General features: G+C 54.6%; 1 protein-coding gene and 1 non-coding gene across 29 annotated transcripts in view; both read right to left on the reverse strand.

Moving 5' to 3' along the window:
- The window catches only part of TNS1 (tensin 1), a 234,192-nt gene that overhangs the window by 27,758 nt on the left and 193,084 nt on the right, over positions 1–13,350 (reverse strand). For 16 of the 28 annotated variants that reach the window (XM_047445637.1, XM_047445639.1, XM_047445638.1 and 13 more), the window contains 5 exons: positions 8,467–8,663; positions 7,543–7,618; positions 3,907–3,999; positions 2,819–2,842; positions 2,296–2,466 (listed from right to left, as the gene is read on the reverse strand). In XM_047445637.1, coding sequence (XP_047301593.1) covers positions 2,296–2,466; positions 2,819–2,842; positions 3,907–3,999; positions 7,543–7,618; positions 8,467–8,663 — 561 coding nt within the window. The remainder of the gene's footprint in view (positions 1–2,295; positions 2,467–2,818; positions 2,843–3,906; positions 4,000–7,542; positions 7,619–8,466; positions 8,664–13,350) is intronic. The other 12 variants (NM_001438865.1, NM_001438866.1, NM_001387777.1 and 9 more) reach the window with 4 other exon arrangements.
- On the reverse strand, positions 6,042–6,185 carry SNORA115 (small nucleolar RNA, H/ACA box 115). Its single transcript, NR_145792.2, has one exon. It is a non-coding gene; the product is annotated as a small nucleolar RNA, H/ACA box 115 (small nucleolar RNA).

Here is a 13,350-nt window from a genome sequence, read left to right on the forward strand (position 1 = left end):
ACGCTGGAATCCCAGGGCACGGTGCCTGCAGGCAGGAGAAGGACTTTGAAATGGCCACTTGAGGAAGAGACAGGAGACCAATAACTCCAGTCTGGCTCCATTACCTCCTAACTGTGACCTTGGGCAGATCCCCCAACACCACCCACAGTGCTGATGTCAGCTGCATATCTGTGACAACGATGGGTGTGGCTGAGTTAACCCCTAAGAACCTTCCCCTCCAAACTCTGTGGCTCTGGCCAGAGCACTTGGGGCCCTGTAAGATGAGAGTAACTCAGCAGGTGCAATTGGCAGATAGTTCAGTCCTGTCGAGGCCCACGCCCCTGAAGTCACCCCAAAGTGAGAGACACAATCACCAGGCTCTGCCAGCTTGCTGGATAATCCACCCCATGGCCCTTCCCACTGGAGAGTGTTTGAGATACCACTGGTCTGTTAAAGTCAACCAGCTGCGAGGAGAGCTGAGAGCCTATTGCGTGGTCCGGCATCTGAAGCACAGAAACGTTGGCTCTGAGCTCCAGCTAATTCTAGACTCTCTCTCCCAGCTCCTGCCTTGCCAGGACCAGCAGTCAGCCTCCAGCTTGGGAGAAAGCCCTTTCCCCAAGCATGAGGCTGCGGGGGAGCAAGGAGGGGCCGTTCCCAGCAGAGGGAAGCATGCTGTGGCCCACCTGTTCTGTCTCTGGAAGCTGCCCTGTTCTGCAGCCCCTGAGCAGCCTGATGTTGTTGCCCAAACCCCAGCTGGTCAGGAGAGGGCAAAGTCTTCTGGGAAACTCCAATCATCCTACCTGGGTGACAGCAGATTTAGAGGAGCACAGGCCATCCCCGCTTAGGGGGTGGAAAATCAAGGTGGTGTGGTCAAAGGAAAATGGGAAATAGGCCTGAGAAAACCAGCCAATCGGCCCAGGGCCCAGGTGGGAAGTCAGAACACCTAACCCATCAGAACTGGAAGTGATCACAGCACCCATCTTGCCCCATCTTCCTGAGGGGGGGATGCCAGTGCCCAGAACCACACCCTGGCCTCCCGCCCAGGCTGGCACCCACTTTGTTTCACCTGCTGGTTTGAGTCCTCACTCGAGTTCTGCTCCTGGTGTGTCCAAGGCCTCCCACCTGATTATGCCCCCTCTCTGCTTCCCTGGTGCCCAGTGCAGGGCTCATCTAAATCAGGGGTTCCTCTGGGACCCATAGACATGCCAACTCCTTGAAACTGCTTTTCAGAATTACGTGCATGGGAATCCCAATGCATTATTGTATACACGGTGAGTCCATAGATTTCCTGAAACACGCGAAGTTGTCTGAGATCCCCGAAAGACAGACTTAGTACTTTCTGTGTTGATAGGAAACCAGGCAGGGCTTCCAGAGGGCAAATCGTGGCTGTAAGATGGGGGCTCTGCGCCAGGAGAATTATCCCCCCAGGGGACACTGGCAATGTTGGAGACATTTTCGATTGTCATGACTGAGTGAGAGCTACTGGCATCTAGCAGGTAGAATCCAGGGACACTGCTAATCCTCCTACAGTGCACAGGGCAGCACCCACAACAAAGAGTCATTCAGGGCCAGGCACAGTGGCTCACACCTGTAATCCCAGCACTTTGGGAGGCCAAGGTGGGTGGATCGCCTAAGGTCAGGAGCTCAAGACCAGCCTGGCCAACATGGTGAAACCCCATCTCTACTAAAAATACAAAAAAAAAAAAAAATTGCTGGGCGTGGTGGTGCATGCCTGTAATCCCAGCTACTCAGGGGGCTGAGGCAGGAGAATTGCTTGAACCTGGGAGGCAGAGGTTGCAGTGAGCCGAGATCGTGCCACTGCACTCCAGCCTGGACAACAAGAGCAAAACTCCATCTCAAAAAAAAAGGCGTCATTCAGGCCAAAACGTCAGTGGTGCCAACGTGGAGAATCTCTTCTCTGAGAAATGCCTGTGGAGCACGTCCCGGGAAAGGGGATCTGAGTCCCTCCCTGTCTACCTCTATGAGCTGCTGCACACCAGGCAGGCTGGTGCAAATGGCGCTGGGAGAGGAAGGTGCAAGAGGAGCGTTTTGGTCAACAAGGTGACACTGCAGGAGCCCCCAGACACTGGCTGTGCCTGAGCCAGCGCCTGGCAGCTACAAGCTCCCCCATCAGGACTCAGGAGGTGTCCAGGGTGGTATCTCATCACCAAGCGTTGGGGGACAGGAAGGCCATGTGCCTGGTCGCCTGAGTCCCAGTGAGGAAAGAGAGCTGCCTCCAGCCAGCCTCTTCAAGCCCTGCTTTGAAAAGCCATTTCCAGACCCAGAGAGCAGGAAGTCACAGCAAATGCTACTTACCTTCTGACAGCCTGACCACCACCTTCCCCTCATCTTCCTCTGAGGGAAGACGAGAAGAGAGGTGGGAGGAAGGAGAGGCAGGAAAGAAGGGCAGGTGGTGAAGATGAGGAAGAGCAAAAAAGGAAAAAGAGAGAAAGAGATTAACAGGGATTATTTCTTGAGAAAGAGAATCTGTGGAGAAAACGGAGATGGGAAAGCTGGGGTGAGGCCAGGGCCGATTTGCGCTGTCCACAGAAGGACTCCAAGGGGAAGGCCGAGGCCCACCCTGCAAAGGACCCCAAGGCTCCGAGGCATAGTTGAGTCCCCGGCTCTCAGGAGCCTGAGCCCCTCGCAGCCCCTGTGCCCAGGGCTCTGTGGGCCAAGTGTCAAGCAGGAGTGTGCTGGCTGGTGAGAGGCAGCCCCCAGCCCCCTTCTACTGATCCCCCGTGGCTCAGTGTCCCTGGCCATGCCGACACTCTGAGTGGGAGGCTATGCCCAGCTGCGTGGCTTCATGGGTCACAAATGCATGCCACTGCCCACCTACCTGGCTGGATCCGTCTTCTGGTAACTAAGGAAAAAAGTAAAGTTGACCCCAATAGCCCCCACCCAGCCCTAAAACCAGAGTCCAGGGAGCAGCTTTCTGAGTTCAGTGGCCCCACATGGCCACCAAGGGCCCAGGGAGCCCTGTCTCCCTCCACCATAAGAAGGAGAGGAGCTGGGAAATGGGAGGAGGAGGTAGGAGGTGTGAACCTGGGGTGGTGTCTGCTCAGAGGAGCACCTTCTCCCAGACAGGCCCAGGGCCCTGCCCTCTACCGTGCCAACAGGACAGGCTGTTTGACCCCAGGGAGGCCGAGCAGCCATCCTCCTTCCTTCCTCAGAGCTTGGGCTGCTCTCCTCAGCAGCAGAGTAAGATGCAGCCAGCATCGGGAGTAGGGATGGGGGATGAGCACAGGCCAGGGAGAGTCAGAAGCCCGGAGGTGGCAGGTCCTTTGACAGTCAGGAGAAGACCTGGGCTGAGGGCAAGGGGATCGAGGAAACGGCAGGCAATGATGGCCACTGCTAGTCATGGGTTTCTCTGGTAGGGTTCTCTGGGCCTGAAGAGGCAGACCTAGAGACCACTCTGAATGCCAGGTGATGCCTTGTGGATGCCAGGTGAATGCCTGTGATGCTTCGTGGATGCTCAGAGCAGAGCCAGCTGGGCTGCCAGCAGAGGCCCTGGCACACAGCAGCAGGGGCATGCTTCTCTGACTCTATGTGTGTGTGTGTACATGTGTGTGTACCCATGTGTGCATGTATGTGCGCCCATGTACGTGTACCCGAGGGCCTGAACACCTAGAATGTGTGGCTTCCAGCAGAGATCTCAACACCACCAAGGAAACTGAGACCAGGCCTCCAAAGCCTCAAGCTAGAGGAGGCTGGGAGTTGTGCAAACTCCACAAGTCAACAGACAGGAAGGCTGCAAGGAAATCTGTCACCCCCAACCCCTACACAGAGAGCCCCAACCCAGGCCTGACCTCAGTGTGGGCACAAAGCTGGCTGCTGACCAGATTCTGAGACCCGGGTTTCTGTCCAGAACCACAGGAGTCCTCCTCCCCCTGGCCCCCCTCCCCATCTTCCCTCTTCCCAACTCACCTCCTGTGGGGTGCAACAGGATGTCCGCTGGGTTGTGAGGTTTCAGGCCCAGAGCAGACAGGGGTGTCTTGGCCAGACCCGGGGGGGACCGCACTGTGCCAGGAAGAAGAGGGGAGACACAGGGAGTGAGAGGTGGGCAGGAGGGCAGACACGCCAGGCACGTGAGGGCACGCTTAGTGAGGGCTGGGGGGCTGGAGACGGTGCCGAGGAACCACCCTGAGGCCCAGCGCTTTGGCTCCACTGCCCTTTCCCGCCTCCGTATTTCTCTACATTTGAACAGTTTAAAGGATAAAGGGAAAGACTCAGGAAATGGCAACCTTGCCCTGGCTCTGGCCCCAACCTTGAGAGAATCATTTCCACCCCTAGGCCCTTAGCTTCTCGCTGCAGTCCCTTTACTTTGCAATGGCTTATACCACACACGCAGGCTTTTGCAGCTGTCTCTGACCTTCTCTATAATACTCTCTCATCCCTCTTCCTACCCTCACCCAACACACACACACACACACACACACACACAGACACACACAGTCCATTTAAAACATGTACTTGGATGGATTCAGAAGAGAACAGAAGAAAATTGGGCCTCAGGATGGCACACCCTGCAAAGGACAGAGACAGAAGGAGATAATGGGCCAGAGCCACGCCAACCCTGAGACCTCAGGCCAGCCCTCGGCCAAGCATGTCCCTTGAAAAGCCCAGGAGGAGAGAACTTCTCAATGTGGGGCTCTGTCCCCCCAAACCTCAGTGTCCTGGAAGGAGGAGAAGCCTATAGTCTGTGGCCAAGAGCACCCACTCCCTATGCGAAGCCTGGGCTCCTCCCAGGCCGCCCATCTGGGTTACAAGTGTCATGTAACACACAAGGTCAGAAAGGGCTGCTGGCTTTTTCCCATTAGCCAAGAACCTGGCCAGATTCAGAGCTGATCTGCAGGGTGGCTGTTATGCCCAGTCACGAGATACCTGGGTGGCAGCTGCCATGTCTCCTGACACAGCTCTGAGAAGAAGTTAAAAAATGAACTCTGTGTCTCCTATCAACGACATTGGGAGCCTGCAGAGACCACAGCCCCAAGGATACTCTGCCTGCCGAATGGCCTCAACAGATTAGCTGTGGCCCTCAGATGCCCAGGAACCACCAGCAGCAAATGCTCCACGACCCTCCCTGCCCCTGCTGCTTTCCCCAAAAGACAGTCAGACCTACAGGAATCTTACAACAATGAAAAAATACACTCTCTCTCCATGCAAGCAACATACATAACTCGTTTGTGCAGGTGAACACCCACATGCACGTGGGAACAGGAAGATATCACAGGGGTCCGGATGAGTGGCACACCCCTGCCCTTCACCCTCACTCTGTCCTTGGATGTCCAAAGAACAAACACAGCATAGGGGACAAATGGGTACAAACATACACCTCCAGGTATGGGATAGCTCTAGGCCTCATGTCTCTGTCTATCCTCCCTCTGTCTTTACATAGACACACACACAAACACACACACACACACATAGACACACACAGATTCTGTTTCTACCACCGCCACACCCCCTCTTCCCTGTCATGGTGTCTTGCTCATAGACGCTTATCAAACACTTATTAATGTTTGTCAAACCAATGGCGGTTGAATGAAATTAATTACGAAATAATATGCCTGGCCTCAGAGACGGTCATTCATGGAATAACCACGAAGCAGCCCCAGCCCACAGGTACGCGCATGTTTAACCAACTGGTGCAGCGGAGGCGCAGGTGGGCCCGTGAGGAGGTGAAGCGGACGAGAGGACCAGACAGGGCAGGAGCTCTCTCTTGGTTCCTCCCTTGTTCACCTCCAGCTCCTGAATTCCTCGTTCCCCCAGTTCCTGGGCAATTGGGCCCTTCTGCTGAGGCAGATGAGTGGGCGACGCTAAAGCCAGGCAAGTCTTTTGCTTCCTGAGAGAAAAATTCCACACGTTTCTCCACCTTCTGTCTTCTCTCCCTAACCCTGTGTGTCTATGGAACCTCTGACTTCTCACCGAGGTACCCATGGCTGGCCAAGAGGAGGGAGAGAAGAAGGCAAAACCCAGTTCTAGCACAGCCCAGGTGGCTTCCACCCAAGGCAAGGTGATGTCCTTTCCCTGGCCATTTACAGCTAACAGTGAATGGAAGCAGATGTCACCATGGAAAGTGAGAGAGGTTCCCCGCAGTCACAAGAGGCTGCAGAGCTGGCTCTCACGTAACCTGCTCTAGGCTCACCCTGTCCAGCACAGCAGTCACGAGCCACACATGGCCGCAGAGCCGTTGCAGGGTGACCAGTGTGAACAGAGACATGCCATAAGTGTGAAACACACACAGGGTTTTAAAGTATGAAAAAGAACACAAAACATCCCGTTCTTTTTTACATTGATTATACGTTGAAATGCTAATATTTTAGACTGGGGTTAAATAAAACATATTAAAATGAATTTCACCAGTTTCTTCTTAAATTTTATAAGAGATTGTAAAATAGCTCAATATTTTTATTGACTTATTTGCCTATTGAAAGGATATTTTGGATTTAACAAAAATGTTATTAAAATTAATGTAACCAGTTTCCTGTTATGCTTTTTAATGTGACTACTAGAGAATTTTAAATTATAAATGTGCTCATAGTATATTTCCATTGGACAGTACTGCTCAAGGGAGAGCCACGGCTTCCTGGGGCCACCAATCAGTCACAGCTTCAGCCTCCTCATGCCCAAGATGGCAGCCAACACAAGTTCTGTTGGCACAGGGGCCACGTACATTGCCACATTCCTCTCCAGTACAGGACAGCCAGCCCCTAGGGGAATGCACAGCCAGCTCCAGTTCTCCCTCCTCTCACCAGGGCCAGTGGATAGCTTGAGCCAGGCCCAGCCAACCTGATCCCTGAACAGCACCAGTGTCTCCTTTTTGTGCTGACCCAGGCCTCTCCTGAGTACACTGAGTCCCTCGTGGCCTGGTATTAATCCATCACTTCCTTCCCCACAACCACCTCCTCCAGTTCCTCTTCATGTCTCTTCTTCTATAAAAAGGAACACTGCCCCATGCCTTGGCTCATTTGGGTCTTGGCCTTAGGTGGATGTGTCTCTGTCCTTTGGGGATCTGCCTCCCCAGTAAGTGTATAGGGGCTGGGGGCTAAATGCCTCTGCCTGGAGGCCAAGGATGGATGAGCTGGGGGCTCTGTCAGCCTGAGGGTCCTGGGTCCCTCTCTCCTTGGTAGAAGCTAAATAGGTTGCCTGGAATGGAAGAGGTGTCTGGATGCAGGCAGAAATGGAGGTCAGAAACAAAGTCAAAGTCAAGTCACAAAGAGTCACGCTAAGATGGTAGGGTCTTTTGAGTGTGGACGGTAAAAAGACTCAAAACAAGTAAGAAAACTCCATAATGTGGGAGCCCAGAGTCCCATGGTCACTCAGTCTGGACCCTAAAACTGGGGCGGCTGCACCCTTAGATGTGTGAGTGTGGACGACGGAGAAGACAATGGCCACAAGCAATGGAAGAGAAGGGGCCATGGGAGTGAGGAGCAGCACGTTCTGGCCCCACCTGGGGCACTGTCACCCCCAACCCTCAGGCCTGGGGCACTCCCACAGGCAGGGTTGAGCTGAGGGGCTGGAGGGTACACAGGGAAGACGAGCTTCACAGGGAATTCTTACCCCCACTGGGTGGTGGGCTGCTCGGGGAGGTTCCCTCCATCTCCTCGAAGGCCTCCTTGTAGCTGTGCAAATGGGGCTGTGGGAGAACACAGGGGAGAAAAAGAGGGAAACCATGAGAAGGAGAGATTTCCCCTTCAGATGACCTGAGGTATGAGGACAGTGAGTTAACCAGCCCCCACATCCCCTCGTCAGCCTGGCTCCTCACTGGTGCTCAGGGCAGGAGACAGGTCCTGCCACAGGCAGGAGAGAAAAGATATCCACAAGCCACTTCTATCCAGAATGACTCATTAGCCTGGCTTTTATAGGCCAGTACACTCGCTCCCTCAATGTGGCCCATGGACCACCTACATCTGAATCTTCCAGGGCACACATTTAAAATGCAGATTCCTGGGTCCCATCCAGATCTACTACCCTGAAATCTCTGGAGGTGGATTTGGGAAGCTACAGTTTTAACAAGCTCCCCATTGGTTGTTACTCATGATGAAGTTTGAGACTCACTGCCTCCAACTACTGAAATGTCTTAGAAATGCAAATCTTTTGGAATGAAAATTAAATCTCCTGAGAAAAACCTTATATCTGCAAAGGGCTCAAAAATAATTTTGCCACTCTCCAGGATCTAGTTTGGAGTTTTGAAATTGTGTTCACCTATATCATCCCCAGGATTCTTACCACCTTATTAAGGCACTCTCTCTAGGAATCAAAAAGGAAACTTCAATCTCAATATTAATGCAAGAAGTGGGAACATAGAGCTATTTAATGGGCCCCAGACTCCACATGTCAGAGAAGAGAGTTTGGGTGAGGACGTAGGGGGAGACAAATCACTGAGTATACTGATATCAGTGCCAAGTTGACCATCAGGTTTCTGGAGATTTAAAGTGGGCACCACTACCCTCCATAGCCCCAAGATACAGCTTAAGGACTCACCTCTTTGGGCCGCCCTCCAGGATTGAGAGCGATGGTAAGAGCCAGCTCCGGGGAGACACACTGGACAGGGGAGCGAACCCCAGGGCTACGAGGGGATGTGGCTTCTGGAGACTGGTTCTCATACTGTCCATCACTGGCCGCCCGCCTCCGCAGAGGGGCTGGGGGCTCTGCAGGCTGCTTCTCCCGAGCCTGTACCCCTGGGAGGAAAGCAGGGTGTAGAGGACAATGAGCATTTTTGTGTAAGAAATGATCAATCGGCCTAATCCCATCAGAGAAGGCAGTGCCTCCTAGCTCAGAGGCCATGCTGGGGCTCGCCTGTCATCCCCCATTGTCTTCCCCTCAGCCCTCCTGGGTCCAACTCTGTTCACACCCCAGGTTTTCTCTGCAGGAGAGGGGATCTGCTTAGATTGGCTCAGACTTCACCAGGAATCTCTCCACACAGAGCTGAGACCAAGAACACAAAGGACTGATACAAGAAACAGATGTCAACTACTTCCAACCCCTGGAGGCGGAGGGCCAGAGCTTCCAGACAAGGGAGGGGAGGTGGAGGGAAAAGACAGTCTCCAAGGCAACTGCATCAACCAACCAGCAACATCAAGCCTGTGGGGAAGAACTCTTGGAAAGGGCTAAATTGCATCATCTTGCAAATGGTGCTCCCAAGGAGAAACAAAGACATGACTAAGCCTTGTTACGAAGTCCCCAGCCCCAGTTGGCCTCTGGGATATTTTTGGCTTTCTCTGGGGTTCCCCAACTTCATCCGGTGTACCGCTGAACCTCTTACCAACTCCCCTTATACTGGCCTCTTAGCTCCCCGCCCCCTTTTCCCTGCCCCAAAGATAGCGGCGGATCCCACCATGTCCCTCCCAGCTGAAGAGCAGACAGAGAGAAGTCGTGTGCTCCATCTGCTTTTCTGTACTTCCCATCCCAATCCCATTCCACAGGCCTGGGGATGCTGTTAATCTCACCCTCCTTCCTTCCCACTCCCTCTTCCCACAGCTGGGCTGAGGCACGGAATCCATTGCCTCATTGAGCTGGCTCCCAGAATCCTAGAAAACTCACTTCCTGGGTCCCAGAGGCCAAGACCCAGCCTGAAGCGTGGGCTTCTGGTCTTGACTCTCTTCTGGGAAGAGATTCCCCGCCCTGCTTTCACCACCACTAGGACTTAACAAAGGCCTCAGGTCACATGGGTCAGCGTGTGTGCACACACACTGCACACACACTGCCAGCCCCTAGGAATGTGCCAGTACAGCCAAGCAGAAATCACCCTCATTCAGACAGAAACATCTTCTGCCATCCACAGTGAGGACTGCATGTCCCCAGCCACGCCCCCCAGCACCCCCAGTCTGGCACAGCCACAAAGGCTGCCATAAACAGCGCCACCTGGGAAGCCTTCCTACTTGTCATGAACAGCAGGCTGCCGGCTGCCAAGCCTACGGGCAGACACACACTTACACTCACATAGGCACAGCCACTCTGAGACACGCCCTCATACTCTCCCATAATCAGGGGCTCCCATAATCGGGGGTGGGGGGCGCATCAGGAGAGCAGCAGGACTGGCATTTGCACATTAAATGCAGAAGGTACCGAGTGGTGCCCTGAGTCTCCGCTTTGGGCTTTTTATTAATCAGGGGCAGCCCTGCTGCCATCTCAGCTAAGAAAATAGCGCCCAGGATGGGGACAGTAAACTAGACTCTGACCTCACTCTGCCACTTACAAACTGTTCCACTTAAAGCAAACAAGCCCCACACCTTGAAGAGCCCTTATTCGCAGAACAGAAAAATAGGAGTCCCATTAGACCCAGCCAGGGGCTGCCAGGAGCATCTACCTGAAGGAAAGAAGGGCGTGGTTTTGGGAAGGGTGGGCAGCTTGCTGCAACCCTGCAGCAACCCCAGGCTCCCAGGCCTTAGCTCCCCGGAGCCCCCATCCCACTCAGGTCTCCTGGGCAGCTTGGACCAACACTGCCACTGATTTCATTCCTGGCAAAAACATTAGAGAGAAACAGACATAGCCATTGATTTTCTAACAATAATTGTGACAGAAGAAGCCCATTTGGGAGACGCTCTTGGGGTTTGGAACTCAGTTCAGCCCCAAGGTTAAAATAAATGCATTAGGGCTGGTCTCAGTTCCGGGCTCCTCTGCCCCCAGCAGCTCTTTCTGGCAGATCCCTCTGCCTTTTCAAGGGGTGGCCAGTTTCCCTGCTTGGGGATCTGACGTTTGCCATTAAAAAATAGATCTGTTTGCATTTGAGGCACCGAATCTCCTGGACAAACAAAGAACATTCTGCCCAACCTTCCCAAAGCTTTCTCCATGTTCAGGGGCCACAGATGCCTGCAGCAGCTTGGGGTGCAGGGGGCACCTGACATCCGTAGAGAATGTGAGATCCTGGCATGAGGCAGTCAGCCATCTGAGGGTGAGCTGCACCTTCCCAATCCTCTCTCCATCACCACCAGAATGGCACGTGGGAGCATGTTCTGACCAGAGGCAGGGAAATGGAGGGAATGACCTCCAAAGAGCTAAGGAGCTGCAGGGCAGTGCCTCCCTCTGCGGAAGGGTAAGACCCTGCATTCCACTCCCACGGGGCCAGCCCCTCCCCTGCAGAGCACCAATGGCCCCATGGCACCAATGGCCAGTCAGGGCCACTCACATTCTTTGAACACAGTGTCCCACTGTTGTCCCCCTTGGCAAGCCCAGATCCGCCTGGAGTGCCTGGAGAGACATGTTCCCTCTCTCTTGTCTTGCTCTATGGGAGGGGAGACTGGCGTGGCAGAGGGGAGAGAAGAGAGCCCCATTGTTCCTTAGCCAAGCTAGGGTGTCTGGACACAAGCTGACAACCAGTGTCATGGAGAGAACACCCTCTCTCACGTCCCAGAGTCTGACTGATAATAAAAATAGGCCTGCTCTCCCCACCTCCCTCCCTCCCGCCACCACCCTCCACCCCAGGACTTTCTCAGTCTTTGGCCCCATTCTCTCTCTCAGGGCCTCTGTCTCCTACACCCACCTAGGCAGAGGCAGGTGCCTTGCACAGACACACATGTGCATGCTTGCATGTACATACACACACACACACACACAGCCTAACAGAAATGGCAGCAGGACACTGGGATGATGGGGGTACATAGTGGGGCCACTGGGTCACCCTCAGAACCTCTAGGGCCAGCCCCTACCCCAGCAGGAGGCCGTGTGGCCAGAGGAAGAAAGGAAGAGAAGCTCCCAGGAGGCTGAGAAGGCTGGGGTACCCTTATGACAACAAAGTATCTTTAGGACCCTAACACCCTATGTTCAAGGAGCCCTGGGCGTTCTCTAAGGGCTGCTTCATACACGGGCATCAGGCCTTCCCCACAGCCCTGCCAGGATGAGCAGTTATCCCAGCCCCAGGGTTCCACACAGGCCCCCAGACCTGAGGAGCAGGGCACCAGAGCAGCCCCCTTCCCAGGGAGGCGTCACTCTTCTGCCAGGACAGTGCTGTGCTGGACAACAGCTCACTCCAAGGCTCCCCTAGCATGAGCCAGACTGGAGGCAATTAATCCCCTTCATCTGACACACACACGCACACACACTCACACGCACACTCGCACACCCTGCAATTCTGGGAGCTGTAGCCCTGACACAGACCGATACATGTACTTTGGCAAAGCACTGCTGCCCACCACCCCTGGATCACGTGACGAGTACCCTGGTGTCAGGCTTCATGATGTGCCTCCTCTGCACCCCCCAGACTGGCCACTGCCACCCTCACAGACCCAGCTCTTCTTTCCAGTCTTCCGATTTCCAAAAGACTGGATTCCTCAGGTCCAGGTAGCAGGGCTGGGTGTCCGACAGCATGCCTGGGGCTCCAGAAGCGAGGGGATCCGGGAGGCCACCTGCTGGGCCAGGGTGCCAGAAAGCCACACGGCGATCACACTAGCAGCCCTAGGGCAAGCCATGCCAGCTCCCCTTGAGGCAGGCCCACCATCCCAGAACCTGCCCCTACCCAGGCCCAGCTGAACACTACACTCCCCACCACTGGGCTGAGAGAAGGGCAGAGGAAGAAGAAAGGAGGGAGGGGCGGTTGAAGGGAGCAGTCTGCTAGAGCCATCTCCTGATCATCCCTGGACTGGGAGAAGAAGGGACCATGGAGGCACCAGATAACTGACATTGGGAATCAACAGTTCCCATTTCCCCTAGGCCTTTTCCTGGAGCTGCTCAGGGGCATGGTGTAGGGCAGGCCTGAGCATGGCATCTTCCCTGACCCAGCCTCCAGTGTCAGAGGAGCAGGGGAAGGAAGAGGTGATTCCCTGGCCAGGGCTCAACGCCTAAGGGCCTGCGTGTCCCAGAGGCCAGGGGTAGATGTTAGTGGACGGCATCATTCTCAAATGAATTACTGTGACCCCAGTGAAGCATCCACAAGGTCCAGGGCATGTCAAACCACCGTGCAAAATACACAACAGGACAGGACTATCATCTGTCCACTTCTCAGACTGGGAAATTGAGCTCTAAACAGTTAAGAAACTTGCCCAAGGTCACAGAGGTGGTCTCAGGCAGGGCCAGGACCCCAACCCAGGGCTTCTGACTCTTGGCCATGGGATCAGAGATTAGGAGTGGGACCAGAGGGGGTACGCTGTCCCCAGGGTGTGCCATGCTCTAGAGTGGACAGAGCAGCAGGGGCTGGGGCACCACTCTGTGTTGTGTCTGGTGGCCCCATGCAAAGCTCAGCCTGGCTCCTGCCGAGACCTAGCCCTGCAGCCCAGGCAGTCTGGCCAGGGTGGCCGGAGTGCTGGACTGTCCAGAGCCCTCCTGAGCACCCTCATTGCAAAGGCCTGCATCTCCTCAGGGGACCCTGAATGTTAGTCTAGTTATTCCAGGCATTGTTCCCAGCAGGCAAGGCCAAGGCTAGCATGAGGCCCA

The sequence above is a fragment of the Homo sapiens genome, chromosome 2, assembly GCF_000001405.40.
Source record: "Homo sapiens chromosome 2, GRCh38.p14 Primary Assembly".
In the NCBI taxonomy this organism is placed as follows: domain Eukaryota; kingdom Metazoa; phylum Chordata; class Mammalia; order Primates; family Hominidae; genus Homo; species Homo sapiens.